Source organism: Homo sapiens, chromosome 5, assembly GCF_000001405.40.
Source record: "Homo sapiens chromosome 5, GRCh38.p14 Primary Assembly".
NCBI classification, from domain to species: Eukaryota; Metazoa; Chordata; class Mammalia; order Primates; family Hominidae; genus Homo; species Homo sapiens.
In genome coordinates, this window is record NC_000005.10 from 146,493,621 (window position 1) to 146,521,215 (window position 27,595).

Genomic DNA, 27,595 nt, shown 5'->3' on the forward strand with positions numbered 1-27,595 from the left:
AAGCATATAATTTTATATATATGCATACAGATATTCAGTCTTCAGAACAGGTAGTTTGATTTAGGTACTTACGTGATACCTGTTTTATATGAGATAAGCAAATTAGGTAGCTTGCCCCAGTGAAGCTGGGATTTCAATTAGATTTCAGTGTTGCACAGAATTGTATAGGTAGGGGGAATTATTCTTATTTATGACTTAGATGTAAGAGTAGTGGTATTAGGTTACTGGGAATACCTCAGTATTCTAAAACTGTCGGGTAGCATCATGGAGTCTCTGGGTTAAATGGCACTTATTATAAACGTTCATCTTATATAAATAGTTAATTTTGTCTGTGGAGGTAGGAAAGAGTGATGTTGTTTAAGAAGAATGTTTAATATAGTTTTATATTTGAAATATGGTATTAAAAGTTTTAGAAAATAAAGCTAATAGAGTATTTGTGATATGAAGAATTTAATATTCTTCAGGGGTAGTAGAGGTTCAGACTTTCCAGGGAGTCCTGAGTTTTTTCTGAGTCAAAAGAGTGAGATCATGAGTCAAAATAGTTGAGTCTCTGTTATAAAAGACATTTTGGGGGGCAGTTGAGGTCACTTGGTAAGAATTGGATATTAGATGTTAGAGAATTAGTAATTTTCTTGGGTATTGTGGTTATGGAGGAAAAAGGCTTTACTCTCAGGAGTTGCATGTTGAAATATTTCTAAGTGAAGTCTTAAGATGTCTGCAGCTTATTTCCAAAGCATTCAGCAGAATATATTTATTAAAACTCCATATGGGTCTGTGAATAATTGAAACTCCAAAGAGATTTCCCTTGGTAGATATGACTAAGTCTTACCATATCGTAGTACTCTACTGGTGTTCTTTTCAGGCAGGTAGAATTGTTGAAGTGATCTGTATTATGCAGGTTACTTCATAAAATGAAACGATCAGGCACTAAGGGCATTGTCCTGTATTGTTATATTGATACATCCAACTCTGGCATAGAAATTAAGACCATTTTTAGTTCTAGAAGAATGCAAGGAGGAAAAACTTTAAAATGAGAAAATGTTGTCTGTTGGCCTAATTTTTTTTTTAAAGTGGGAAAAAATATTGCAGAACCTTTTAGTAGAGCTAGTAAATATAGAGCACCAGAGTTTGTTCCAACGGGAAAGAAAGGGGGAAATTACTGAACTGTGCCTGTCTCTTGTATGTCGTTTTTCTTTTTAATGAAAATTTAAGTCATACCTCCCACAGTCAGTTTCTGGTCACTACTATCTCCCTGTCACTCACCACCAGCCATTACCTACTTCCTTCCAAAATATTTTTTATCCTGTTTGTTTTAAAGTAGTTTTTTCACAGTTAAGAAATAAGTCATATGAAAACATCTCCATGGGAATCTAATGCTAAAAGTTCACTTCTGTCTTTTCTCATAAAAAGTGTCAGATATTTTACCTATAAGTAATAGAAATAAGTCTAAAATAAATCAGTTATCACTTTACACGTTGATTTTCCACTTTTTAAAAGGTTTTTTCTTTAATCATAGTTTATGCTTTAATCATAACAATGCAAGTTTATTATCCCTTATCCCAAATGCTTGAGACCAGAAGTCTTTTGGATTTCAGATTTTTTAAAAAAAATTTTGGAATATTTGTATTATACTTACTACGTGAGCATCCCAAATTCAAAAATCTGAATTGAATGTCTTGTTGGCACTAAGTAAGTTTTGGGTTTTGGAGCATTTGGATTTCAAATTTGGGATGCCCAACCTGTAGTTGCTTTTTCTATCTTAAAATTATAAACTGAAGGGCTTAATTTATCATGAAAATAAAACATTTAATGGACTACATATGATCCCTTTTCTGGAATATACATTTTTATTTTACCATGCCATTTTATTATTGTTATGTATCTGTTGTTCAAACCAGGTTTGCAATATATTCATTGTTAAAAATGTTGAATTAATGTTGGATATTGATTAGTATTGGTTGCATACAAAAGATTATTAGAATCTAGCCTTGGCCAGCAAAGCTTAAAAATAATAAATGTTAGCTGTGAGTGATACTCTTAACCTTCAGTTGATGTTTTAAGTTCTAAATTGAGATTAACTGGCCAGTTTTTTGTTTATAATTAAAACTATAACATAATCTTTGTTTTAACACAAGAGAATGTTTTATTTTTGCATTTAAATAACTAAATAGCTTTTAAGTGGGCTAATCTTTATTTTTTTTCTTCTAAAACCATGCTAAATATAGGATTGTTAATTATAAGAGTAAATTCTTGGCCAGGCGCAGTGGCTCGCGCCTGTAATCCCAGCACTTTGGGAGGCCGAGGCAGGTGGATCACGAGGTCAGGAGTTTGAGACCAGCCTGGCCAGTATGGTGAAACTCCATCTCTACTAAAAATACAAAAATTAGCCAGGTGTGGTGGTGGGCGCCTGTAGTCCCAGCTACTTGGGAGGCTGAGGCAGAAGAATTGCTTGAACCTGGAGGCGGAGGTTGCAGTGAGCCAAGATCGCGCCACTGGTTAAAGCTTCAAATATTTAAACTATATACCAAATATATGAAAGCTTTATAATGCCTTTTATTTATGGAGAAACTTCTTTTTTAAAACTTAGGCTCATTAGCCCTCATAAGCCTCATCCTTTTATTTAACCTGTTTGGAGTTTGCTGAGCTTTTTGAATTTATAAATTGATGTTTTCCATCAAATTTGGGAAGTTTTTGGCTAGTATTTTTTCTGCCCTAATTCATTCTTTTCTCTTTTGGGATTCTAATCACACATATATTAGTGTTTGATATTATCTTACATGTCCCTGAGACTGTTTCCCCTACCTCAGTCTTTTTTCTATCTCCTCTTTGGATTAGATAATTGTTAGTGATCTAACTTCATATAATTGACTCCTTATTCAATTGTCAACTCTCATGTTAATCCTATCCAGTTAATTTTTTTTCATTAGTTTTAGGTTCTTTTTAATATTTTCTGCATCTCTGCCAAAACTCCTTATTTGTTCATTCATTTTTAGACCATGTTTTCAATTCTTTGAACCTGTTTTTCTTTGATTCTTTCAGTGTAATAATAACAGTTTTGTTTAGTTATTTTTTTAAGAGGCAGAGTCTTGCTCAGTTGTTAAGGCTGGGGTGCAGTGGCTCAGTCACAGCTCACTGCAGCCTCAGATTCCTGGGCTTAAGCAGTCATCCTGAGTAGCTGAGAATATATGCGTGTGCCACCATGCCCAACCAATTTTTAAATTTTTTGTAGGGACAGAGCCTCACTATGTGTTTTTTTTTTTTTTTTTTTTTTGAGACAGAGTCTTGCTCTGTCACCCAGGCTGGAGTGCAGTGGCGTGATCTCAGCTCACTGGAACCTCTGCCTCCTGGGTTTTTCTCTTGCCTCAGCCTCCTGAGTAGCTGGGATTACAGGTGCCTGCCACTACTCCCAGCTAATTTTTTTTGTATTTTTAATAGAGACAGGGTTACACCTTGTTGGCCATGCTGGTCTTGGAACTCCTGACCTCAACTGATCCACCTGCCTTGGCCTCCCAAAGTGGTGAGATTACAGCCATGAGCCACCACACTATGTTTTTTTGTTTTTGTTTTTTTGATTCAAGGCCTTGCTCTGTTGTCCAGGCTGGAGTGCAGTGGCACGATCTCGGCTCTACAGCCTTTGCCTCCCAGGTTCAAAAGATTATTTTGCCTCAGCTTCTCAAGTAGCTGGGATTACAGGCGTCAGCTACTGTGCCTGGCTGGAGTCTCACTGTGTTGCTTAGGCTTGTCTCGAACTCCTGGCCTCAAATGATCCTCCTACCTTGCCCTCCTGACGTGCTGGGATTGCATGCATGAGCCACTGCACCTGGCCAGTAATAGTTGTTTTAAAGTTATTGTCTACTTAGAACGACATCTGGACATCTTGGGTTTGGTTTCTATTGACTTCAAAAAATTTTTTCTATGGATCACGTTTCTTTGTATATTTAGTGATTTTTGATTGAATATTGGACTTTGTGGCTAATATATAGAGACTCTGGAGTCTGTTACCTTTCATTGAAAAGTGGATATTTTTGTTTTAGTAGGCAGTTTATTTACTGGTTGCCACCTTAATTTTAGGCTTGACTTTATGTTTTGTTAATGTGAATCTCTGAAAGTGTAATATGTTTCTTTTAGCCTTCCAGCTCTGTTTTCCTTGTGGATCTTTTGTGGACTTTGTTGGCCTGATCCTATTCTCCCTTTAATACTACTGACTCTCTGTTATCTCTTCTATGCTCTTAACCCTGTAGTAGCTTGATATATAGAGTGATCTTTCCCTGCTGTTACACAACTTGGCCTTAGCTGTGGACTCATGGGTAATCGCTAAGTCAGATTTTTCTTGGGTACCCTCTCTTTGTAGATTCCTCTTCACCCAAGCTCTAATCTTTGCTTCCTCCAGTTCATTAAGACTATGGTACTCTAGTTGGACTTGAGCTCTCTCTGCACCTCATAAATTTCCCTTCTTTCAGGCATTTCAGTCTTACTCTTTCTGTTGTCTACTCCTTGAAATCGGTTGCCTCATATACTTTTGTCCAGTTTTATAGTTGTGTATGGAGAGCTAATCCAATAAGAATTTTTCTATTATGGCTGGAGGAAGGACTTAGCTTCATCGCAGAGTGGAAATTGATGAGCTCTTGTCTCTTGAGGCATGCAAATTCTTTACTCTGTGATCTCTTTCTTTTTTTTTTTAATAATAATATTTATTCTCCTAATTCTATGCTGATAGCATACAAATCCCTTAACCACATTTTTGCTCATTACCTCTTTTTACTCCTTTCTGAAACTTACTGTTCACTGTTAGGTAGATGTTGAGTCCCAGTGTCTCTTTGTCATATACTCTTGTTGGAAAAATGGTATCTTCTGCTATGCCTTTATACAAGCAGAAGTAACTGCCAAAGTTAGCACACTTGTAATTTTGTTACAGAGCAACTTTTAGTGAATTTGCAGCCAAGCATGCTAAAGATTCAAGATTCAAAGCAATTGAAAAGATGAAAGACCGAGAAGCCTTGTTTAATGAGTTTGTGGCCGCTGCTAGGAAGAAAGAGAAAGAAGATTCGAAGACCAGAGGTGAGAAGGTAAGATGGTTTTAGTTCCAGTGGTGTGATTGATGGGAGTGTGAATGGGAAAGGTCTATGCTGGTGTTATGTTTCTAACCTTATTCATTGGCATAAATAATAGGACGTACATGGACTGTTCTTTTAAGTTAACTTTTATAATTATTTATGTATGTATGTATTCTATCACTTTACTTACATAATGCTTATTTTAGTAGCTTCACTAAACTATATACTTTTGCTTTAAATTGTGTTAATATTAAGATGCCTGGTAAACTCAGAACAGGTTGTTAGGACTGCCTGCTCAGTGGTGCCTTCTAAGATTTCAAGATTCTTTATAGGTTGTAATATTTGAATTTCAAAAAGCTTCTTTATCTTTTTTGCCCTCTAAAAGATAGCATTTTAGTGACTTTCTATTCTTTCAGTAAACATATCTTACATATAAATTATTGCTTATCAGAATTAAAGGTCAGCTATTAAAGATTAATGAATTCCAAATGTCATTTGATAGCAGTGTCAGGAGTGGAGAGGAGCTTACCACTGGGGAGGAAAACTAGTAGGGAGATGACCCCAGTGGTGTGTGAACCATCAAAACATGCAGCCACTCTCCTTAGTGTCCTGGTATGCTTTGTGAATGTAGAAAAATAACCTCTGGAGCCTAATCATTCTTGACATTTAAAATTGCCTCTTATTCCAGAAAGTTATAATATTACAAGTTCTATTAAGAAATGTTGTTTGAAAGTAATGCTACTCCTGGGAAGAAGTCTCTTTCATTCAAAATAGTAACAGTATTAGCTAAAACAGCTTTTATCAGAAATACCTGAAACCTCCTAATTATCCGATTTATTGGGCTTCCAAGTGAGTTTTCCAGAATTGTTTCACTGTTTACTTAAAAAATGATTATGCTTCTCAGAGGAAATGTGTAAAATCAAATTCTACTACATAATTTTATATGTTGAATTAGAATCATGTTAATGAATTATTTGCTACTTTTGATTTTAGAATAACCTATTTAAGAAAACCAAGTAAATAAGTGATTGTTTGATTTTGTATGATTGCTTTTATAGAAATTAAATGTATTTATATTTGCATTTGTAACTGATTTTCTTTTTCTAAACACTTTTTTTATAACTATTTTATGTATTCTGTTTTATAACAAGTGGATAGACTTTACAGTTTTGTGCTGTGCGGCCTGTCAATCAGTTCAGTGACAGCTGTCAATCACTGACACGCAAAGTGTTATGGGATTCCCTAGTGAGGAAAGAATTGGTATCTCTGTGTGGTGACTTTAGCCTCCCGAGTTCCGGTACTTTACATTTTTTTAGTCTTTTTCCTTATGAAGTGATGAGAATTGTGCCCAGAATGTGTTAATTTTAAAAAAGAAATTAAATAGATATGACATCTAAATTAAATAAATCTAATATTTAATATATTCAGCTTTATTTTATTTTGGCTATAAAAATCTTAATTCTTTAAATTACAGGGTTGGCTTTATACCATTACTAGATTAAAAAAAAAAGGCAGGAAATTGCTAAAGTGAAGCTTTCTCAGCCAATTTAAAGAATGCAAAATCAGTGAGTGACTAGGCCATCAAAGCAGAAATCTTTAAAGTAAGGGTTTAAATATAGTGGATTTTATATTCACATTTTGAGCACATTTGGTTAAGGGGCTTTATCATTTTTCTTTCATGACTTCCACTGTATTGTGTATACTGTTCTTAAGTATATTGTGTATACTTAAAAAAAAAAAATCACATTGTAACTGAGTAATTAGATAGCAAGAGCAGTACCAGTAGCATGGTACGAGAGTTTATTTCCTTGTTCTTGTAATTCTCCAGCTGGTCTTTGTAGCATTGTGATAGTTGAATCAATAGCTGAACACTAAAGGTTTAAAACTAATTTTAAAACTAATTTTGAAAACCTGTGAAGAACATTGACTTCTGGTGAAATTCTTGTTTTTCTTAAGTAGCATTTTGACGGTAAAGTCATTCTCACAGTAAGAGCATCATTTTCATGTAGTTTTTACCACTAGTTTTCCATTTTATTAAAAAGTGCCTGTAAAAGTCTACTTATTGACCAGGAGTGGTGGCTCATGCCTGTAATCCCAGCACTTTGGGAGGCTGAGGCACGAGGATTGCTCGAGACCAGCCTAGGCAATATAGCAAGACCCCCATCTCTACAACAAAACAAAAAAATAGCTGGTTGTAGTGATGTGCTTCTGTAGTTCCAGTTACTCTGGAATCTGAAATGGGAGGATCGCTTGAGCCCAAACAGTCAAGGTTGCAGTGAGTTTTGATGGTTCCACTGCACTCCAGCCTGGACAACAGATGGGATTCTTTCAAAAAAAAAAAAAAAGAAAAAAAAGTCTACTTATTTTGTTTGCCAAAGTAACTATTCTTAAGCTATTTTATTGTAATATATTATTATAACCAATTTTTATAAAATTGTGGTTCAAATACTTTACCTTTTGAAATAGCACATTTGAGGTTGTATGTAATTGGAGTTAATACACTGTTACAAAATTGACATATTTTTCTCTTCCCTCTCTTTTAAATTTCCTGTGCATAAATTATTTTTGTTATAGTAAGGAATGGGGAGAATAATAAGGCCTTGAATTGCAGCTAATGGTAAATGACATTTTTTTGACATTTATGCAGCTGTCAGGCAATTGTTCTCATACTGATAGCCTTAGTAAGCCATTTATAACCTGTCATGGTAATATCCACAATGAAAGGAAGTTAAAGTTTAATTTTATTTAAAGTTCACTTGTTTATACATCACACATTTAAAAACCTATATGATAATCCTTACTTTATAGGTTTCGTGTCTAATATATGAAAATTGTTTTAAGCTAATACAAATTCCTGTGGCTTAGAAAGATTCCTATTTGATATAACTTGCATGTTTTATTTAACATAAATTTTGTAAATTTTGCCTTCCAGTTGTCAAATGCATCTAGGAATTTGGTGTTCATCATGTCAGATACAAAGTAGACAAGATGAACAGAAAAATTTAAGTTACATCACTACATCAGGTGGTTTCTTAATCAGTGTCTGGAAATACTGGGTTTATGAGTATTTCTTATTAGTTCAAAGTGAAAGGCCAAGTTTAGTAGTGGAGAAATCCACAGCCAATTAGCTGTTGTCTTTAGAAACATTTCTGATGCAGATATTCTGTTTCTTATAACCTTAAAAGTATTTTCCAGAAAGAACATCAACTTCACTTTTTTTTTTTTTTTTTTTTTTTTTTGAGATGGAGTTTTGCTTGTTGCCCAGGCTGGAGTGCAATGGTGCAGTCTCAGCTCACTGCCACCTCTGCCTCCTGGGTTCAGGCAATTCTCCTGCTTCAGCCTCCCAAGTAGCTGGGTTTACAGGCACCTGCCACCACACCCAGCTAACTTTTTGTATTTTTAGTAGAAACGGGGTTTCACCATGTTGGTCAGGCTGGTCTCGAACTCGTGACCTCAGGTGATCCACCCACCTCAGCCTCCCAAACTGCTGGGATTACAGGCATGAGCCACCATCTCACTTTTAATCCTCCAGTAGGAGAAATGAAGTTGTAAGGGGAAATGATAGTGTTAGACTAGGCAGAAGGAATGATTCATATATTTTTGTGCATACACATTTTAAATCCTGATTCCCATGATCAGGTGGGAAGGTACCATTTTCAATTCCTACTGGAAGGGAGGGGTTCTTAATATGGTCAGAATCCTTTGTTGAAATGACCTTGGTTACCTTGGGTATCTTCTATGGTAGGAGTACAAAGTAGTATACATGGGATTAAATTTTAAAACAATTAGGCCCTCAGACATACATAAAAATAACTATCTCATTTACTCCTTTCCTCACCTATTTAAATAAATAAGAAATACAGTTTTGGAGAGGGGTTTTAAGTAGTTGTATATGTTGATACTGAAGGATTAATGTTTAATACCTTTGGTATAATGTTTTTAACTTGGTATTTCAGTTGTTGAGTATAATACTGGATAAACACTTAACATTCTGAGTTTATAATGTTATAAACATTACATACATGTTTAATGCTAAAAAGTGTAGAAGATCTGAATGCAATTTTTTAGTAATGATTAATTATGAACATAGAAATTCTGTAACTTTCTCACATATCAAGGTGTACAGCTGCCTTTTTTTCACCAAAATATAAATTTTTACCCTATTTTGATTTCAGACATTTGACAGTATAAGTTTGTAATGACTTGCAGTGATTTTTAAATGTCCTATTAATTTCAATGGCCAAAATTTTTATCCATCTAGTTTTTAAATAAATCATTTTTACCTTGTTGATATTAAAGAATTGTCAGCTTCATAAGCCTGACTCTTAGCTAAAAAGAAATGCAGCTCGATGTAAATTTATATTCCCTATGAATACATGGCAGTTCTGAGATCTAAAGTTATCAACAATCTGAAAAAGCCTTTTTCTATATTTTAATAATTTCTTTATAAAATATTATTTATCTTGAATTTGGCAAATTTTAGATGAAAGCCTATATGCTTGTCGATGTTTACATTTCTAGTAAAAGAACACTTCTGATCTTTTACTGTAATTCTACTCTAAATGCCTATATTTTAAAAGTTATTATTCTCATATTTAAGGTAGGTGAACTTTTTTTCTAGTTGTAAATATTTAAGATATGATGAATTTCTCATGGTACATTATTTTCCCTCCCATCCCACTACCTGTTTTAAAATACAGATTAAATCGGATTTCTTTGAACTATTATCTAATCATCACTTGGACAGTCAGTCTCGATGGAGCAAAGTAAAAGACAAAGTAGAAAGTGATCCACGTTACAAAGCAGTAGATAGTTCATCAATGAGAGAAGACCTTTTCAAACAGTACATTGAAAAAATAGCCAAGGTAACTGTTGTGTTTACTTGTATTGCTTTCATTGAATAATACAATTCTTGTGTTTAAGGGTATATGTTGTTGTTGGGGATTTTTCTATTGGGGGTTTGGATTTTTTCTTGTTAGTATTCTTAACATAAGAGTCTAGTTGATTTGGAGATGAGAGGTACACAGTGTTTAGGTATATTCTGGGCAAAAACTAGATTTGGAATTTTTTATTTGGCAAGCTAGTTATTCTGTAAAAACATATTTTGATGGAGTTGGTAAGAAGGATAATGTAGTTTTTGCTTTTACAGAATTTAGACTCAGAAAAAGAAAAGGAGCTTGAAAGGCAAGCCCGCATTGAGGCAAGCCTTCGAGAACGAGAAAGGGAGGTTCAAAAGGCCCGTTCAGAACAAACAAAAGAAATAGATCGAGAGAGAGAGCAGCACAAACGAGAAGAAGCTATCCAGAATTTCAAAGCTCTTCTGTCTGACATGGTATACGTTAATCTTTTACTTTTTTTCTCTAAAGTACTGGATATTGGAAATTTATTATGTTACTGTTATGAATATTTTAATGTTCTTTAATTCTGAGGGAGATAATTTGCTAAATTAGAAAGCATTTAAAAATTGAATACTTGGTATTAGTACTGTTAGTATAGGAAAAAACCCAAGTTATTCAACAAATTCAGAAGTTAGGCATTTTGCATATATGGAAAGTCATAATCATTTAGTCTCACAACTTTATTATTTATTGTTCTTGATGAAAGTCATTGTAAACTATTACACACTTACCTGCCATAGTGATAAACAAAACGTGCTGAACACAATTTAACCTTTTCGTTGATGATTTAGGGCCATCATTGTGATGATCAGTTATACTTGCAGATGGTATGAGATTGTAGGACTGGAGGTGTAACTGACTGCAGGAGATACCCTGAAACTTTGTTGAAAATCTTTCTCCCTTACCCCTCAGAGTTGTTGAGGTATGTAGGGTTTTTTGTCCCTACAGTGAATGACCCTAGACTACCGTCCTACTTGCTAATATATTTTGGAGTTGGGGGTGGCTTCTCTTTGTCATATCTCTCCTATGCTATTTCTTTTCTCTTTTTCAGTGGAGCTTGCTACTCTTGTCACTTCTGATTTCTTCCCTTGCATCTGTTTCTTACTCTACCCAGGAGTATCCAATCTTTTGGCTTCCCTGGGCCACATTGGAAGGAGAATTGTCTTGGGCCACACATAAAGTTCACTAACATGGCTGGGCACGGTGGCTCATGCCTGTAATCCCAGCACTTTGGGAGGCCAAGGCGGGCAGATCACTTGGGGTCAGGAGTTCAAGACTAGGCTGGCCAACATGGCGAAACCCCGTCTCTAATAAAAATACAAAATTAGCCGGGTGTGGTGGTGCGTGCCTGTAGTCCCAGCTACTTGGGAGGCTGAGGCAGGAGCATCACTTGTACCTGGGAGGCGGAGGCTGCCGTGAGCCGAGATCGCGCCACTGCACTCCAGCCTGGCGACAGAGTGAGACTCTGTCTCAAAAAGAAAAATGTACATTAACACTAATGATAGCCAATGAGCTAAAAAAAAAAAAAAAAAAGGACAAAAACATCTCATAATGTTTTAAGAAAGTTTATGAATTTGTGTTGGGGTACATTCAGAGCCATCCTGAGTTGCATGTGGCCTGTGGGCCACGGGTTGGAAAACCTTGTCCTACACCCTGGACAATTACAGTAGTTTCCTAATTTCTCTCCCTACCTCTAACATTCCCTCAAATTTATCCGTTCTGTTGCAGTCACAGAAGTCTTCATAAAAAGCTAATCAAATTTTGTCACTCCCCTGGTTACTTGCAGGGGATGAAGGTTCTCTTTACTCCCAGCAGTTTCCTACAGGTCACATTTAGCCTCCTTAGCATAATATAAAAGATTGTTCATTTCTTACCTCCCACCTTCATATTTCCTTAACACCTTTGCTTTCTTCATTGTTCCTTGAACTGTAGCCTTGCTGAACATGCTTAATGAACCATACCATCCTTCCATTGCTCACGGCAGTCCCTCTACCTGATATGATTTGGAAGTGTTCCTGTTGCAGTGACAGACTTTCTCGTTCTTCAGGGGTACGCTCAAGTATCTCTTCTGTGAGGCTACTCCTGACCTATCTAGGCAGATTCGATCTCACTGTTCCTTAGACCACCCTTGTGCTCAGCATATGACTGCAGCACTTATTACCTGTATTTGCAGTTATTTGCTTACATGTTTATCCTTTTTGTTTTTTTATTTTTTATTTTTTTGAGATGGAGTCTCACTCTGTCACCCAGCTGGAGTGCAGTGGCATGATCTTGGCTCACTGCAACCTTTGCCTCCTGGGTTCAAGTGATTCTCCTGCCTCAGTCTCCTGAGTAGCTGGGACTACAGGCATGCGCCACCACACACAGCTCATTTTTGTATTTTTAGTAGAAATGGGGTTTCGCCATGTTGGCCAGGCTGGTCTCGAACTCCTGACCTCAGGTGATCCACCCACCTCCCAAAGGGCTGGGATTACAGGCATGAGCCACCGCACCCGGCCTTTTTATCCTTTTTTTTCCTTCTAAGTGAGCTCTTTGAAGGAAGGGATAACGTCTTATTTTGTAATCTTATTGCAAAGCACGGTATATATCTGACTTGTATTTAGATGCTTGGTAAGTGTTGGTTAAATAAATGTTTTTGTATTTTTGTTTTCTTACCTTTCTGTTATTTTAGTCTGTGTTTCTTCACATTGGCAGTAGTGTGGCTTAACTTTTAATGCCATTATCACCAATGAAGCATATCTTTTTGCTGGTTGGTGAGCCAGCCAGACCTGTTATGCCTTCTATTATACTGTCTTCTTCTTAAAAATTGTTTTGAGAAGTCATAATTGTATATACTTACGGGGTACAGTTGCTGTTTTGATATAGGTAGATAATATGGAATGATTAAACCAAAGCTGTTTAACATATTCATCACTTTGTTTGCTTATAATTTTTTGTGGTGAGACACTTGGAATTTACTCTCAGTTATTTTGAATGTAGAATACATTATTGGCTTTAGTTAACCCTGGTGTGCAGTAGGTCTCAAAACTTATTTCTGCTGTCTCTGAAACTTCATTATCTTTGACAAGTAACTCCTCATTCTCTCCCTTGTCCTGTCTCCTACCCCCTAGACTTTGGTGACCATCTACTCTCTATTTCTATGAGTTCAACTTTTTTGGATTCCACAAATGTGAGACTATGCAGTATTTGTGTTTCTGTGCTTGACTTATTTCACTTATGTTGTCCTCTAGGTTTATCCATGCCATAAATGAATAGAATTTTCCTCTTTTTTTAAGGCTGAGTGGTACTCCATTGTGTATATTTATTACATTTTCTTTATCCATGTATCTGTTGATAGACACTTAGGTTGATTCCATATCTTGGCTATTGTGAATAATGCTGCAGTGGACATGGAAGTGCAAATGGACATTCAGATAAGTCTCTTTGGTGATATATATATAATTTTTTCTCTTCAGGTACGTTCTTCAGATGTGTCATGGTCTGATACTCGTAGGACCCTCCGAAAAGATCACCGCTGGGAATCTGGATCCTTATTGGAAAGAGAGGAGAAAGAGAAGCTTTTTAATGAACACATTGAAGCACTTACCAAAAAAAAGAGAGAGCACTTTAGGCAACTTCTGGATGAAACTTCTGCAGTAAGAATCTCTTATTTTTCTCATTTTAATCTGGATGAATCTTGTTAGTAATTTCTTAAAGCAAAGCATTGATATGATTTTTAGTGTCATGGTCTTTAGATTCATTACTGGAATGCATCTTATGACAATTCTCTGATTTTAAAAAATTATGGTATTCTTATTTATTTAGAAATGCCTATTCTTTGCAGTTTTCACATTCATAACTGCTCCCATAGTAATTCAAAATGTCCTTAGCCATGTGGTCAGTGATCCCTCCTAATAATAGATTTAGCAAATTTCTTCTTTTGATCCATTTTCAATTTGGTACTATGGCCTCTTGTTCGGCAGTTTGTACGCTTTGTTATCCAGGTTTTGTTCCTTTTTATTTGCTCTCTTTTTGGTGATGGTTTCTTCAGAAGTTATGATGTTTGCCCATGTAAATACAGGGTTTGCAGGTGATTGTCTTAGGCCACCTTGAAAGTATGGCCATGAAAATAACTCTTGTGGCAAGCCAACAAAAAGAAATTGCATTAACGCTGCTTCCCTGTCCCTAACTAGTCCAGTTACGCTTGGGCATTACAAGAGATCGCAGGTCAGTGTGTAATATTATGTACCTATGTGCTGCAGTTTGACTCCCTAAGTAAAAGTGAGTTGTATTTATGTTTTTTATTCATGTCTTTTCAAAGATTACCTTAACATCCACGTGGAAAGAAGTAAAAAAAATCATTAAGGAAGATCCTCGATGTATTAAGTTCTCCTCCAGTGACAGGGTAAGAGGATTTTGTGTCGAGATTTACTGTCAGTCTATAAATACTTAAATCGGGGCCTAACAGCACTACTATCTTAACCAAAATGAAGTTGATTGTTTTAAGTGAATTACTTTTAAGTGTATGAGAAGTAAATCTGAATTTTAAGTTTATGTATTGTTTCTTGCATGATAAATTAGCAAGACAGCACAATAGAAAGTTTAAAATTTTAGTACTTGGGGTGAAGCTTGTATTTTAGGATCTTAGAAATTTAATGAAGCTGCAGTTTTATTTTAGTCAGGTACCACTAGACAGACATATTTAGGCTGGCAATTGGTACCAAACTATCAAAGCACTTGACTCTTAAGCCAAACAGAGCCCTGTAATGAGATCGCTAGTTCTCATATGCTTCAAGGTCTGAAACAGTGAATGATGTCAAGAAAAGTGTTGTTTACTACAGTCCATTTTATCCCTAGGCCTTTTATTTGTTTTCTTTTACATCATTCCCCTTTCCTGGTTGGTTTCTGTAGGTCTGGGCATCTTTTATAAAAACTCATAAATCTAATATTCTTCCCCCTCAAAGTCTATTGGATTGTAGATGTTTGGACCATAAAATATGCATGACTGGGAAAGAGGGGTAGACCCAGTCTCAGTTTCTAACTTTTCTGACTGTTTAGAATTGATAATAAAGTCTTTTTTAAGTCCAAAGAGTTTATTCATCTTATTACTTTTGGCTTGCCAGAAAGCTAAATGCTCATTACTGTGTAAGTTAAGTATTGAGTGTTAACCTACAGTTGCTGTATCCACAAATTACTCTTTTTGTTCTTGAAGTTAAAAATACAGTGTGCAGGAAGTGAACACTTAATCCTTAATATCCTTATTTTTAAGTGTCCACCTCATGAGGTTGTTGTGAAGATTGAAGTAGATGATCCTCATAAAATGCTCAGCAGTGTAGCACATAGCAAGTTCTCAAGTTTTAGCCACTACTAATTTATGATTCCTCATTCTTTCTATTTGCCGCAAAAATGAGCCTTGCAAATTGTGATTTAATGAATTTTATATATGAACAAAATGTACCCTGTTGCCTTTTTCTTTTGAATTTTAAATTTTATTATGTGACTTACACATTACTGTTTAATAAATAATTGATGTTTATTTTGGAATTAGTGGGTTTTATTTCCATAATCTCAACTTTTTTTTTTTTATTAACAGAAAAAACAAAGAGAATTTGAAGAATATATCAGAGACAAATATATCACAGCCAAAGCTGACTTCAGGACGCTTTTGAAAGAGACCAAATTTATAACATATAGGTGTGTGCAATGAAATGTTTCATATTGGCAGTCATTCTCTTTACTAGTCTTTACTCTAATGGTCAGAGCATTCTTTGCATTCACACACATGTTGACATTATTAATTTTTAGGGATAAGAAGATACCAACTTCTGTCCAAAGTCAAATACAGCCCATATCTACCATACTTTTTTTTTTTTTTAAAGAAAGGGCCCAGATGTCAATTCTTATTTTGTGTTACCCACCCATCCAGTTTTGAATACATACCTTTTTTTTTTTTTTACTTCACCGCTTTTTTTAGGAATACCCTCAACTATATAAGAATTGTATTTCATGAAGAGACTTTTAAAATAATCTTTCACTATCAGTTATCTTTGCCTCCTCTGAAGACTATTCAGTGTGGTTAGATCATTCTAAAGCATGAAATCATCTATTTAAGCTCAGCATAAACATTTTTTTTTCCCTCAGAGGAAAGCATTTTGCTGGGTACATTTAAATAAAAATTGTAAATTATGAAATCAGAGCCTTTAAACAAGATTTCTCTGTAGCAAACCCAACAGTTCTTCACCCCTAACAATTTATCATCAGGAAAACAATTTCGCATTGCTTACCAGTCAGTATGCAGGAAACCATTTTTGTTTCATGCTCCAGCTTTTCTTCTTTAAGAGAGAAATTTGAAACATCTTAATAAAGGGTATGTGCACGGGAGGCTAGATAGTGCTGAGGGTGTGGTTTTTAGATATTTTGTCATTTGGATTTTTTGGTCAGGATCCTTAATGTTTTGCATCAGCTTGGGCTTTTAAATTAGATGTGAAGTAAGACTTCTTTCTACATTTTTATAGTTAATTTAGTGAAAGATGTGAAAGTGAAAGCTTGTGAAAGATGCTGGGATTGGCAGCCCCGCAGACTGAAGTCCTCTGTTCATCCACAGAACAGGTACAGCACGGGCAAGATTTACCCACCCACCCTCAGCCCTGATCTGGAGGGACCACCACTAGGGGTGGGAGGGTAATTCAGCTTCTGAGGCCCTTTCACTCCTTGGAGTCTTTGCTGAGGCGACTTACAAAGGTGACCACTGCCGTGAAATTTTTCTTAAAAAAAAAAAAAAAAAAAAAAATGGAAACACAATTAGGAACTAGATGGACATTTCCAGCTCATTTCTGAAAGACCTGTGAACAGCAGTCAGTAATTCTTGGACTTCTTTTTCTTATTTCAGATCCAAAAAATTAATCCAAGAATCAGATCAGCACCTGAAAGATGTAGAAAAAATTTTACAGAATGACAAACGGTATCTAGTACTGGACTGTGTGCCAGAGGAGAGGCGTAAACTGATTGTGGCATATGTTGATGACCTGGATCGCCGGGGTCCACCCCCACCTCCCACAGCATCGGAGCCCACGAGACGATCAACAAAATAATTCTAAATACTCTTCCATAGGGGCATCTATTCAAAATGCTTGCATGAGCCAATTTTCAGGTTTTTACATATATGTGCATTAGTCAACCTATTGCGAAACCATCTGACAAACAGAAGGAGAAGCATTTGTGAACAGTTTCTGAACAGAACACTTTGGAAATATTTATGCTTTTCTTTGTGTGGCATGACTGACATACATACTCAAATATAGGCTGTCTCTAGTAAATCTTAAAATCTTGAAGCTAAAATTCATCCTTTTATGAGGTGTGGAAGTCAGTGACTTGGTGACGTTCTTCCTAGCAGTGTTAATACATGCAAGAAGTAAGAGCATTTGTGGCTTGAACTTGCCAGATGCAAATACCACAGACTCCAAGAAAACCCGAGTTGGGGTTTGTTTTGTTTTGATTTTTTTTTTTTAAAGCGGGTAAAAGAGAAAACACTGAAAATTGAATTCTTATCTTCCAGAGGCTACAATTATTATAATGGACAATACTTTTACCTTTGTCTCTAAAGATCAGATTAGTTTTATTTGTTCACTTACGTGCTTTGATTATCCCCTCTGAATTATAGACCGAGTCTTGTTGTTTAGCCTAAGAGAAGATTTATGTAGTAATTTCTTCTCAGGTATGGAACCACGGTCATAACTAACATGTTGGCCAGAATAGAACCACTGGTTAAACATATTTTATTCACCATTAAGTGATCTTTATCAATATTCTGGATTAGACAACAAATTACCTTTCTGGGTGTTTCTTGTAAACTATACTCCTGTTTGAATGTTAAACTTTGTTGCTAAAGTTTAATTTTAAGATGTTTGAATGTTCAGTTTATGTATTTGAACTACAATAAACCAACCCTTTTTATATATCTGTATTGTATATGATTATTGTTACTTAATTTTTAAGAGCTTATTTTAACCTGTTTTTAAAAGCAGCAAATAGAATTTCCCACAAAGTAAGTTGACTCTAAATCTTAAGTATTACCTAGTTTTTAAAGGTTTGAATATAATAATGCAGTATTTGCAGTATAAAAAGGAAGGAATTTGTAGAGAATCATTTTGGTGCTCAAGTCTCTTAGCAGTGCCTTATTGCCTCATAGCAAGAAGATGCTGGGGTTTTTTTTGTTTTTGTCCTTTGTATTAATGTATGATGGTTTGCGCCTTTTTGGCATTCTTTCAACATGTCGTGTACATCACACCATGAATCAGTTCCTAATTGATATATCTAGCTTTACCTCCCGAGTTAAAAAAAAATCTTTTTATTTTATGCCTTCATAGGTTGCTCGTTTCAGAGTGCCACATAAATAAAATGTTTAACAAAATATATATGTTAATAGAATAATTTATTTTCCATTATCTCATACCGACTATGATTGTAACAAATCCTAGAAAGAAGGAATACCAACAGATCTGTATTTGTATGTTGTGTGCATACAGTCACAGACACACACATTCACATCCATGTTATATAGTTCATAGCTTAAATCTATTAAGTGCCATGGAAATTTTGTGAACTCTTTATGTAGGAACCTGGCATTGATCAGACTAAGGTCTTCAGCTGTAAAGTTGATAAACAGGATATGTTTTTTCTTTTTATGCGTACAAAGGATCTTACTCTGTCTCCTAGGCTGGGGTGCAGTGGTGCCATCATAGCTCACTGTAACTTTGAACTCCTGGTTTCAGTGATCCTTCTGAGTAGCTGAGACTGCAGGCATGCATTACCATGTCTGGCTTTTTTTTTTTTCTTTTTAAAATTTTTTTGGAAATGGTTTCACTCTGTTGCCCAGGCTGGCCTCAAACTCCTAGCCTCAAGCCATTCTCCCACCTCGGCCACCCAAAGTGCTAGGATTACAGGCGTCAACCGCCACACCTGGCCGCCTTCTGTTTCCTTTTTTTTCTTTCTTTGAAGTTCATTTTATAAGTTCATTGAGTGATTTTTAAGTACTGTGAGGAATGAAATTGAAGTGCTTGCCAAAAGGAGCACAACTATTATGTAGTATGTAGAAATACGACTGTCTCACAAGGGTAAAGTTTCCAGAATGCCTTATTTTGTTATTCTGAATTCCACATAATATTGTTTGCCCACTTACTACGTTGTTTCTCACAGTAGAGAAGTGAGAAGAAAACAGTTTGGTGATATCTGTTCTAATTTCCTACTTTTGTCTTAAAGTATCTGGGTTTGATCAGATAAGATACAAATCAAACTTCTCTAAGCAGATTTTTTAAGGGATCAAGTCGGGACTTAACTTTGTGTATCAGGTTCTTAATGAAAGGTTCATTGTAATTACTCTTTGTTCCAGTGTCTGCATCTTGATTTGGTGCTTGTTAGCAAACTCTGAAAATCAGTTCACCTTGAGACCTGTTCCAGTGTTAAGGTCAAACAGCCCCATAAAGCTCCATTGTTCCTAATAATGATTTTGGAATGATAATTCAAGACAAAGACAGCTTTAAATCTCCAAAAACTATCGGAAGTAAAGCGTAATTATTTTTATTTCTTTACAAGTTTAAAGTGTCAAACCCTGGAAGCTTACATCCTAAATTTACTACATATAATGAACATAAAAATTATTTATTCAAATAATCACAGACAATGATAATCCTTTTTATAACTACCATATCACAAGACAATATTTTGGATTCTTGGGTTAAATTTTACTTTATTTGAATACATGAGCTTCAAATAAAATTTGTAATGAAGGATGTAAAAAGAATACAGCCCTACCTCCTGTGTTAAAAAGCAAACTATGACCACTTATGAAAAAGCAAAGAATCCGGAAACCCATAGACAAAAAGCAAAATCTTTTTTTTTCCATAACATATCCTTTATATTTCAGATTCTCCATGGCTTGGTTTGCCCTAAAGGCATTTCTATTCTGAGGGAAACTTTCAGTGAAAATACCCGAGTTCCATAACAAAGTAATCAAGAATCATGGGTGAATGTCATTATACTTAAAAGGGGCAGAAATATATCATAATCATGTTTTATTGGGTATGTTTTACCTTGCTATAAAATGAATGGTTATTGCCTGTTACTCAGATTTTACCGTATGTCTGGGTACACAGTTTTACTGCTTTCTGCATTGCCCTTATGCTTTTTATTTTGTATTCTTAACCAAATTCTGTCTTGGTTTGTTGAATTTTCTCTTTTTGATATTAATCTCTTTCTCAGGTTGCTAGATTATTTTTATAACTTAGCCTATAGTATTTTAAAAGTTGAGTAGGGTTCAAGTTCAATGTTCTGAGTAAGGGTAAGTTTAGTACCATTAACAAGAAAGATCACCATCTCCATCTTCTATTTGTATTTGAGGAGTAATCTATACCTATATCATTAACCATGGTTTATCTTGGGAGAAAGGAGATATTAGGAGGAACACATTTCTGCTTATAGAAAAATAACTTTCCCACATTTTGGAAGTGAAGAGAGGACATTTTTTTAAGTATTTTTTCCCCCATATCAGACTACTGAATGTCATTGGAAAGCTGCTACAATTCTTAGACTTAGAAACTGAAGACTCATTCAGGTAGCTTTAAAAAGTTCACTGAAGCAGGCTTTAGTTTAAGTTTGAATTTATTTAAACTTGGCCAGAACCAGCCATGGCTTGAAATGAGTCCAGAATTGGAATAAGGTGCTGTTTCTTTTTCTTTGACCTTCAGTCATGAACATTATGATACGGACTTTTCATCAAGTAAATTAACACTTATTAAGTAAATGAAGAACGCATTAAAATTTATCATTAATGTGTTAAAAATCTCAAGTGAAAGTAGATTTTGAGCTTTGGTTATGTGAAATACAATTTAGTAGGTAAAATTAGGACTAGCAGGTCCTGGGTGAAACTGAAGGTAAAGGGGCTCAGCTTTGACAGAACCTCTACTGCAGGCTCCAGCCGGTCCACTACAGGGCTGGTCCTAGGGGGTACCCAGTAAAACCACTGTGAACAAATGACAGAATAGCCAGGCTGTCTAATCACTTTGACAGCAACATCTTTACACAACACTTAAATTGTTTGGGAAGCCAAGTTCTAATTCTGAAACAATTATTACTTCTAACATGGTTCTCTACTTACCACATTGCACATTTGGAAAGTGTAGATTGTGAAATATTTTTATAATTCCTAATGGTAATAATTATATCAGTTTGTAAAGTCAGCAATATTGATAAGCAGCAGTACAAGTAAATACAATAATCACAGTTTGTTTTGCTTTGAAACTTAAATCTATTTAACACCTTCCCCTGTCTCTTGATCTTCATGTTCCCAGGGGATAGGGTCATTGTCCTGTACAGAAGGGACTGTGTCCCTCTCATGCCAAAACTGCTCTACGTCAGGAAGGATGGGAATCTCTGCCTTCTCAGTTTTCCCTTTGCCAGAGGAGGGAGAGCTGGGTTTCTCTTTTTCTGGTATGGATGCTGGGGATTCTGGAGATGGAACCTTGTCAGGAAGACCCTCTGAGTTGCCAGCTGGTGTTTCCTGAGACTCTGAGACAGTTGGAGGTTTTTTGGTTATCATCCATTTCCATACACCTTTCAAGCCTTCCCTGAACTCTTCCGACATCACAAGAAAAATGAGAGGATTTGCTGAAGAGATGGAAAACATCAAGACTTGAGACAGGGCTATGAAACCTTGTGGTGGGGCCGGGCCTGCAGCCTTCAGATGCCATACCCACAGCCAAGCTACCCATTCGGGGAGCCACAAGAGAGCAGAGATGATGGCAATGCTCAGCAGCATCACTGTGACTTGCTTTGAGCGTATCTGGTTTCTAAGATTTTGAGTCTTAGTTCCTCGTTTTTTACATTGGTCATAAGCTCTCCAGAAATAAAAGCTGGCAAAAAATAATGGAAGGCCAAATGCCAGGAGTGGGTAGAGCTTACCAAACATCGACATAAACTCTTCAGCCACAGCTGGTACATCCACGAGGCACATTTCCACACCTTCATGATGCCTGATGGTGCTAAAGAACCATTCCGGCAGGGGTAACAGGCTAGCCACAGTCCAGATGGCCACCAGCACTGACCAGATGGTGTAGTTGTGGATACTCACTTGCTTGGCTGGGTCACTTGCATACATGAAGCATACTTTGGCCACCACAACGATTGTCAGGCTCTTGGCTGCCATGCATGTGTGGATAAACCAGTCAGAGGACTTGCAGACAAACCAGCCTAGATCCCAAACACTTTTGGAGTACGCCGTAGCTCGGATAGGTGCAGAAAACAGCAGGAGGGAGAGATCAGCCAGGCTGAGATTCAGAATCAGGGAGTGGATCATGGATGGCTTTCCTTTCCAAGCATTGTGAAGGAGGATGCCAATCACACACAGGTTTCCCACGAAGCCCACCAGGCAGACAGCCACCAAGAGAGCCGGGATGATGGTTCTCCAGTCCTGGGAATCAGAGGGCAGGTACCCTCCGGCAAAGTGGAGGTGAGCAAAGGACACATTCATGCTGCTGGAGTTAGAGTCTGCAAAGGCAGCTGCCAGCATCACTCTTCACAGCTTCTTACAGAAGTTAGATTCTTATTTAGGTTTGTCTTTCTGCCTGGGCTCTTTTGCATAGGAAATAAGTACTCTGTCGTCAGTGTCAAATGACACTTCTGGATCCTCCCCTTGCTTATTTCCTGAGAGCAGAATGTGGAAGGAGGCTGGCTGTTAAGCTCTTCTCTGCTGCATACAATATACTTGTGACTGTACCGACTGTCAGATAGCAGGAGCACATGGCTGCTGCTCATTAGCAAGTCTAATACCAAATCGTCAGCCCTGTGGAGTAATACAAATATACCCATAAATGATGAATGAAGAGAACATACATGTAAGTGGCATGTGTTCCTTGGGGGGTCACTAGAGCCAGTCAAGGCAATTATTTTCAACCAGCTCTTCCTAAAATCTTGACTGCTGTCTGTAATTTAGTGAACACTACATCTGAACCAAGTTCTTTGAACTTCACCTGATGGCCGGATCCAGTGGGTCTGGAGTAGGGCCCAAGAAATCATTTCTAACAAGTTCCCATGAGACTCTGATGCTGCAGGTTGGGAGACCACACTTTGAGAACCACTGTTTTAAACTGAGAACTAAAGCTTCCCCTACCCACTCTGCAGAGATGAGCTTCCTCTTCTTTTCCCCAACCCTTACAACCACCTCAGTTCCATCAACAGCTGGCTGAGTTCAAACACAGCTGGATAATGAAAACAAGTTAGAAGTCCTATTAAAAAAATCTAATTATGGATGACTCTCAGTTTATTCTATTACGAGTTTTTAGAAGCAATTTTACAGCTCCAAATTAGAACTGCTTTACATACTAATAAGACTTTTCAACAAGTGATGGTGATGAAGGCAACTGCATGATGAATTAAGCTGCTTTTCAGAGAGCATTCCTAGAGGATTTACCAAGACAAGAGAAATGAAAGAAAAATCAATATCTATGTGGAAGGCATTTAAGAGATTTTTTTAAATTATATTTTAAAGTTGGTAAAGATTTTGTGCTGGGCACACTGGCTCATGCCTGTAATCCCAGAATTTGGGGAGGTGGAGGCGGGAGGATTGCTTAAGGCCAGAAGTTCGAGACCAGCCTGGGCAACAAAGTGAGACCCCTGCCCCCACCTCTACCAAACAAACAAGAAAAAAAAAAAAAAGAAAAAAAAAAAAGTCAGCCATGATGGTGTACACCTGTAGTCCTAGCTACTTAAGAGACTGAGGTGAGAGGGTTGCTTAAGCCCAGGAGTTCGAGGTTGCAGTGAGCTATGACTGTGCTGCTGCACTCCAACCTGAGTGACAGAGTGATCCTCTGTCTCTAGAAATAAAAAAATTCTCAGATAAGATGATTTGGTAGAACTAGCCCTGAAATTTTAAAATAAGCAATGGATACTCTGGGGGGATTAGAGGAGCTCAAAATGTTCAGAGAATGGGGTTTGTGGGGTTGATATGAAGATACATGCTACATTGAGTGTGGCTAGTCAGAAAAGCTAAAGCATGATATACAGGAGAGTATGCTGCTGCATTCAGATCTCTGGATTCTGGTACTGTGCTTTCACGTTTTTCGCAAGTAAAGAAGGGTCTGACGTTTTAAAATTCTTCAGTGTCCTAGAAAATAAATAAGTAGTGATCAGTATAGCTATTGGGACAGTGGTCAGTGGTGCTGGGTTCCTTTGTTTCCATTTCTATTTCCTTTTGCTTTCCTTCCTTTTACCTCTGGGAAGTAGTTGTTCCTATAGAACAGTAAATTGGGGCAACACCTTATTCCAGCAAGGCACAGTAACTCCCAGTAACTACTTAAGGATGAAATATCCTTGAGTCTCAACAAGCATCACTTTTGGGTGTGAAGAGGCCCGCAACGTCTTACAGGGAAGAAAATGGGGGAGGGAGCAGAGTGATGTTTTGCAGATTGTAGACTACAAGGAAGGTAGTTCACTTGATGTATGTGGAAGAGATTCATTCAGAACCAAGAAACAAATATACTGCTTCACACTGTGGCTTATATATTCAAGATTATGATATTCAAGCCTCCTGAAGCTGTATAAGATAAAAAGCTAAATGGGTTCAAGCCACCTTTAATACCATGGAAATTTGATTCTTAATAGACAATTGAGGGAAACTAAAGACTGTCATGTGGTACTTCCCAAGTCTATTGGTACTGACTCAGGGAAGCATCTCCTGGTGCTCCAGCTAGAGATAAAGTCTTTGGACTGAAGGATAATGAACTTTCTCCGCTCTTTTGGGGGAAATTTATTTTAACTTTTTATTTAAAAATAATTGCTTCTGGGCACGGTAGCTCACACCTGTAATCCCAGCACTTTGGGAGGCCAAGGCAGGTGGATCACCCGAGGTCAGGAGTTCAAGACAAGCCTGGCCAACATAGTGAAACCCCGTCGCTACTAAAAAATACAAAAATTAGCCAGGTGTGGTGGCACATGCCTGTAGTCTCAGCTACTCGGGAGGCTGAGGCGGGAGAATTGCTTGAATCTGGGAGGCTGAGGTTGCAGTGAGCCGAGATGGTCCCACTGCATTCCAGCCTGGGTGACAAAGAGAGACTCTGTCTTAAAAAATAAAAAAATAAAAATAATTGCAAATGTATAGAGAAAAAATGCAAGAAGAGCACAAAGAATTGCCCTATATACTTCATCTGAGTTCACCGATTAATTATTTATTGAGACACAGTCTCACTTTGTCACCCCAGGCTGGAGTGCAGTAGCGCACTCTTGGCTCACTGCAAGCTCTGCCTCCTGGGTTCATGCCATTCTCCTGCCTCAGCCTCCTGAGTAGCTGGGACTACAGGTGCCCGCCACCATGCCTGGCTAAATTTTTTTTTATATTTTTAGTAGAGACGGGGTTTCACCGTGTTAGCCGGGATGGTCTCGATCTCCTGATCTCGTGATCCGCCCGCCTCGGCCTCCCAAAGTGCTGGAATTACTGGCTTGAGCCACTGCGCCCGGCTGAAAATTTCAACATGTGATTTTGGAGGGCACATAAAGATTCAGACCATACTACCCAAGTTTCACATTTTACTTTGAATATTAGCCCTTGTATATCTGAGTATCTGATGGATGTTATATGTGGCTTGTATCTACATTTTCTTCATTTTAAAATTATTTCCGTATAAAGGATAAATGTAATTAGCAAACATAAAAGAAGTCTTTATTTGCATTATAAGTGGAAGTTATTTGAATCTTTGTTTATAGCATATTCACTTAAAACATAGAATTCAGTTGTAGATGTGGTGAACATTTGTCAGGTTTCCTTATTTTTATTTATTTTGGGGAGGTGCCTAGTATATGAACCTCTCCTGTTGGATAGAAGGGATTCTGGGGAAAAATGATATGGATGGGGTGGATAGAGCAGAACAATTAAAAACAATTGAGAATTATTTGAGATGGAAACTGGAAACAACCTCATCCCCACAAAATGCTGGAAACAACCCAAATGTTTATCAGCTGGTCAATAGATAAACAAGTGGCTACCTTCATGCCATGGAACATTATTCAGCAATAAAAATGAATGATAAATTCAACAATATGGATGAAAAAAAGCACTATGCTAAATAAAAACATCCAGACCAAAAAAAAAAATACCTACAGTAAGATTCCATTAATAGGAAATGTCCAGAAAAGGCAAATCTATAGAAACAGGAAGTAGAATAGTGGTTCCCTGGGTCCCGAGGTGTGAAAGGGGAGTGACCGCAAATAGGCACAGAGGATATGTTTGGGGTGATGAAAATGTTCTATGATTGCATTTTATGGTATGCAAATTATACCTCAATAAAAGCTCTTTTCAAGAAAGGAGTTATTTGGGATGGAGAAAAGGTAAAGAGCAGATTTCCCTGCTCTTGAAATGCTGAGTAGCCTCCAGCAGAATGGATATTCTATTCTGAGACTTTTAAATTTATTTTTATTTTTATTTTTTCTGAGGGCTCTGTCGCCCAGGCTGGAGTGCAGTGGCACGATCTCAGCTCACTGCAACCTCAGCCTCTTGAGTAGCTGGGTCTACAGGTGCCCGCCACCATGCCTGGCTAATTTTTTTGTATTTTTAGTAGAGATGGGGTTTCGCCATGTTGACCAGGCTGGTCTCAAACTCTGACCAAAAGCAATCCACCCACCTCGGCCTCCCAAAGTGCTGGGATTACAGGCATGAGCCACAACAGCCTATTCTGACTGATTTAAAAAAATAGTTTATGAAGAAAGAGACTGTGGCCTAGAGGGACCAAGCGAAAGGACAGTGCTGGGTGAGAAAGGATATGAGGGGAGCAGGGAGAAAGGGAGACTCAGAACGTAGAGACACAAAATTTGCTGGGTCCCTCTGATGCCTAGTGTCCCTGGCTTTAAATGGTCTTTCAGAAAAGCCTTCTCTAATTCCACACTTAAGCTAAGGCTGTAGCCACAGAGCAGCTGCCAACCCCAAATGCGTCAGCTGTGTCACTTTCCTGACACACACACCACTCATAGTGATGTTGCCAGGAGGTTGGCTCTGGACATTGAGAAGCAGTCATCAAACAACTGAACATCTGAGCTGTAGGCATATATATATATATATATATATATATATATATATATATATATATATATGTACACACACACACACACACACACACACACACACACAATTCTGCTTTATATGTAAGTTACAGGGGACCTCATTCAGCTTAATCTTCAAAAGAACCCAGAAAAAGCAAGTTTGTGGCCAGACTTTTAAGTGGCTTCTGGTCAAAACAGGGCTAAGAGTGACCTCTTACTGGGGCTGGGCAAAGTTTACCCTGTAGCTTATTTCCAGAGAAGGGGTAATAACAATGGCAGTCATTTACTGAGTGAGTCATAAGCTCCACCTACTGAGCTAAGCATTCCAGGCACTTGGACCTTCATGACAACTCCTGGAGATGGGTACGACGACCCCAATTTACAGATGATGACATGGAAGCATAAAGAAATGCAGTATCTTGCCTGTGGGTCTGTAGATCATATAGGTAGTAGATGACAGAGTTGGGATGGAAACCTCTGGAAGTCTGACCCCAGAGCTGTTCTCCCAGGGGTTTCCATCCCAACTCTGTCATTTACTACCTGTGTGATCTCTTCCATGATCCCACCCCACCAAAGAAGCTGTGG

The 27,595-nt window shown here is 37.2% G+C and overlaps 2 protein-coding genes across 74 annotated transcripts in view, besides 1 other annotated feature; one reads left to right on the forward strand and one right to left on the reverse strand.

Moving 5' to 3' along the window:
- Positions 1–18,341, forward strand: part of TCERG1 (transcription elongation regulator 1) — a 64,632-nt gene extending 46,291 nt beyond the window's left edge. For 32 of the 73 annotated variants that reach the window (NR_174407.1, NR_174406.1, NR_174414.1 and 29 more), the window contains 7 exons: positions 4,916–5,066; positions 9,755–9,919; positions 10,204–10,386; positions 13,408–13,587; positions 14,253–14,336; positions 15,525–15,625; positions 16,821–18,341. Coding sequence is in view for 20 of the 73 variants with exons in the window: in NM_001400092.1 (NP_001387021.1) it covers positions 4,916–5,066; positions 9,755–9,919; positions 10,204–10,386; positions 13,408–13,587; positions 14,253–14,336; positions 15,525–15,625; positions 16,821–17,022 (1,066 nt within the window). In the remaining 53 variants the exon portion in view is untranslated. Of the gene's footprint in view, positions 1–4,893; positions 5,067–5,742; positions 5,904–6,205; positions 6,352–6,528; positions 6,656–9,754; positions 9,920–10,203; positions 10,387–11,884; positions 12,002–13,407; positions 13,588–14,012; positions 14,159–14,252; positions 14,337–15,524; positions 15,626–16,446; positions 16,541–16,820 lie in introns of those variants that run through there. The other 41 variants (NR_174448.1, NR_174423.1, NR_174434.1 and 38 more) reach the window with 19 other exon arrangements.
- Positions 17,012–17,212: a silencer, noted in NCBI's record as "peak5524 fragment used in MPRA reporter construct". NCBI's record gives its function as "represses an SCP1 promoter by STARR-seq MPRAs in K562 erythroleukemia cells {active_cell/tissue: K562}" and the evidence as "EXISTENCE:reporter gene assay evidence [ECO:0000049][PMID:32103011]".
- A 1,182-nt stretch (positions 18,342–19,523) lies between the features above and the next one.
- GPR151 (G protein-coupled receptor 151) lies at positions 19,524–22,570 on the reverse strand. The gene has a single exon (NM_194251.3). The coding sequence runs from the start codon at positions 22,491–22,493 to the stop codon at positions 21,234–21,236; it is 1,260 nt and encodes a 419-aa protein (NP_919227.2). The 5' UTR covers positions 22,494–22,570; the 3' UTR covers positions 19,524–21,233.
- Between the last annotated feature and the right edge of the window lie 5,025 nt (positions 22,571–27,595).

Excerpts from the sequence above, each read along its gene's own strand:
- GPR151 (NM_194251.3), bottom strand. The coding sequence starts at position 22,493 with ATGCTGGCAGCTGCCTTTGCAGACTCTAACTCCAGCAGCATGAATGTG.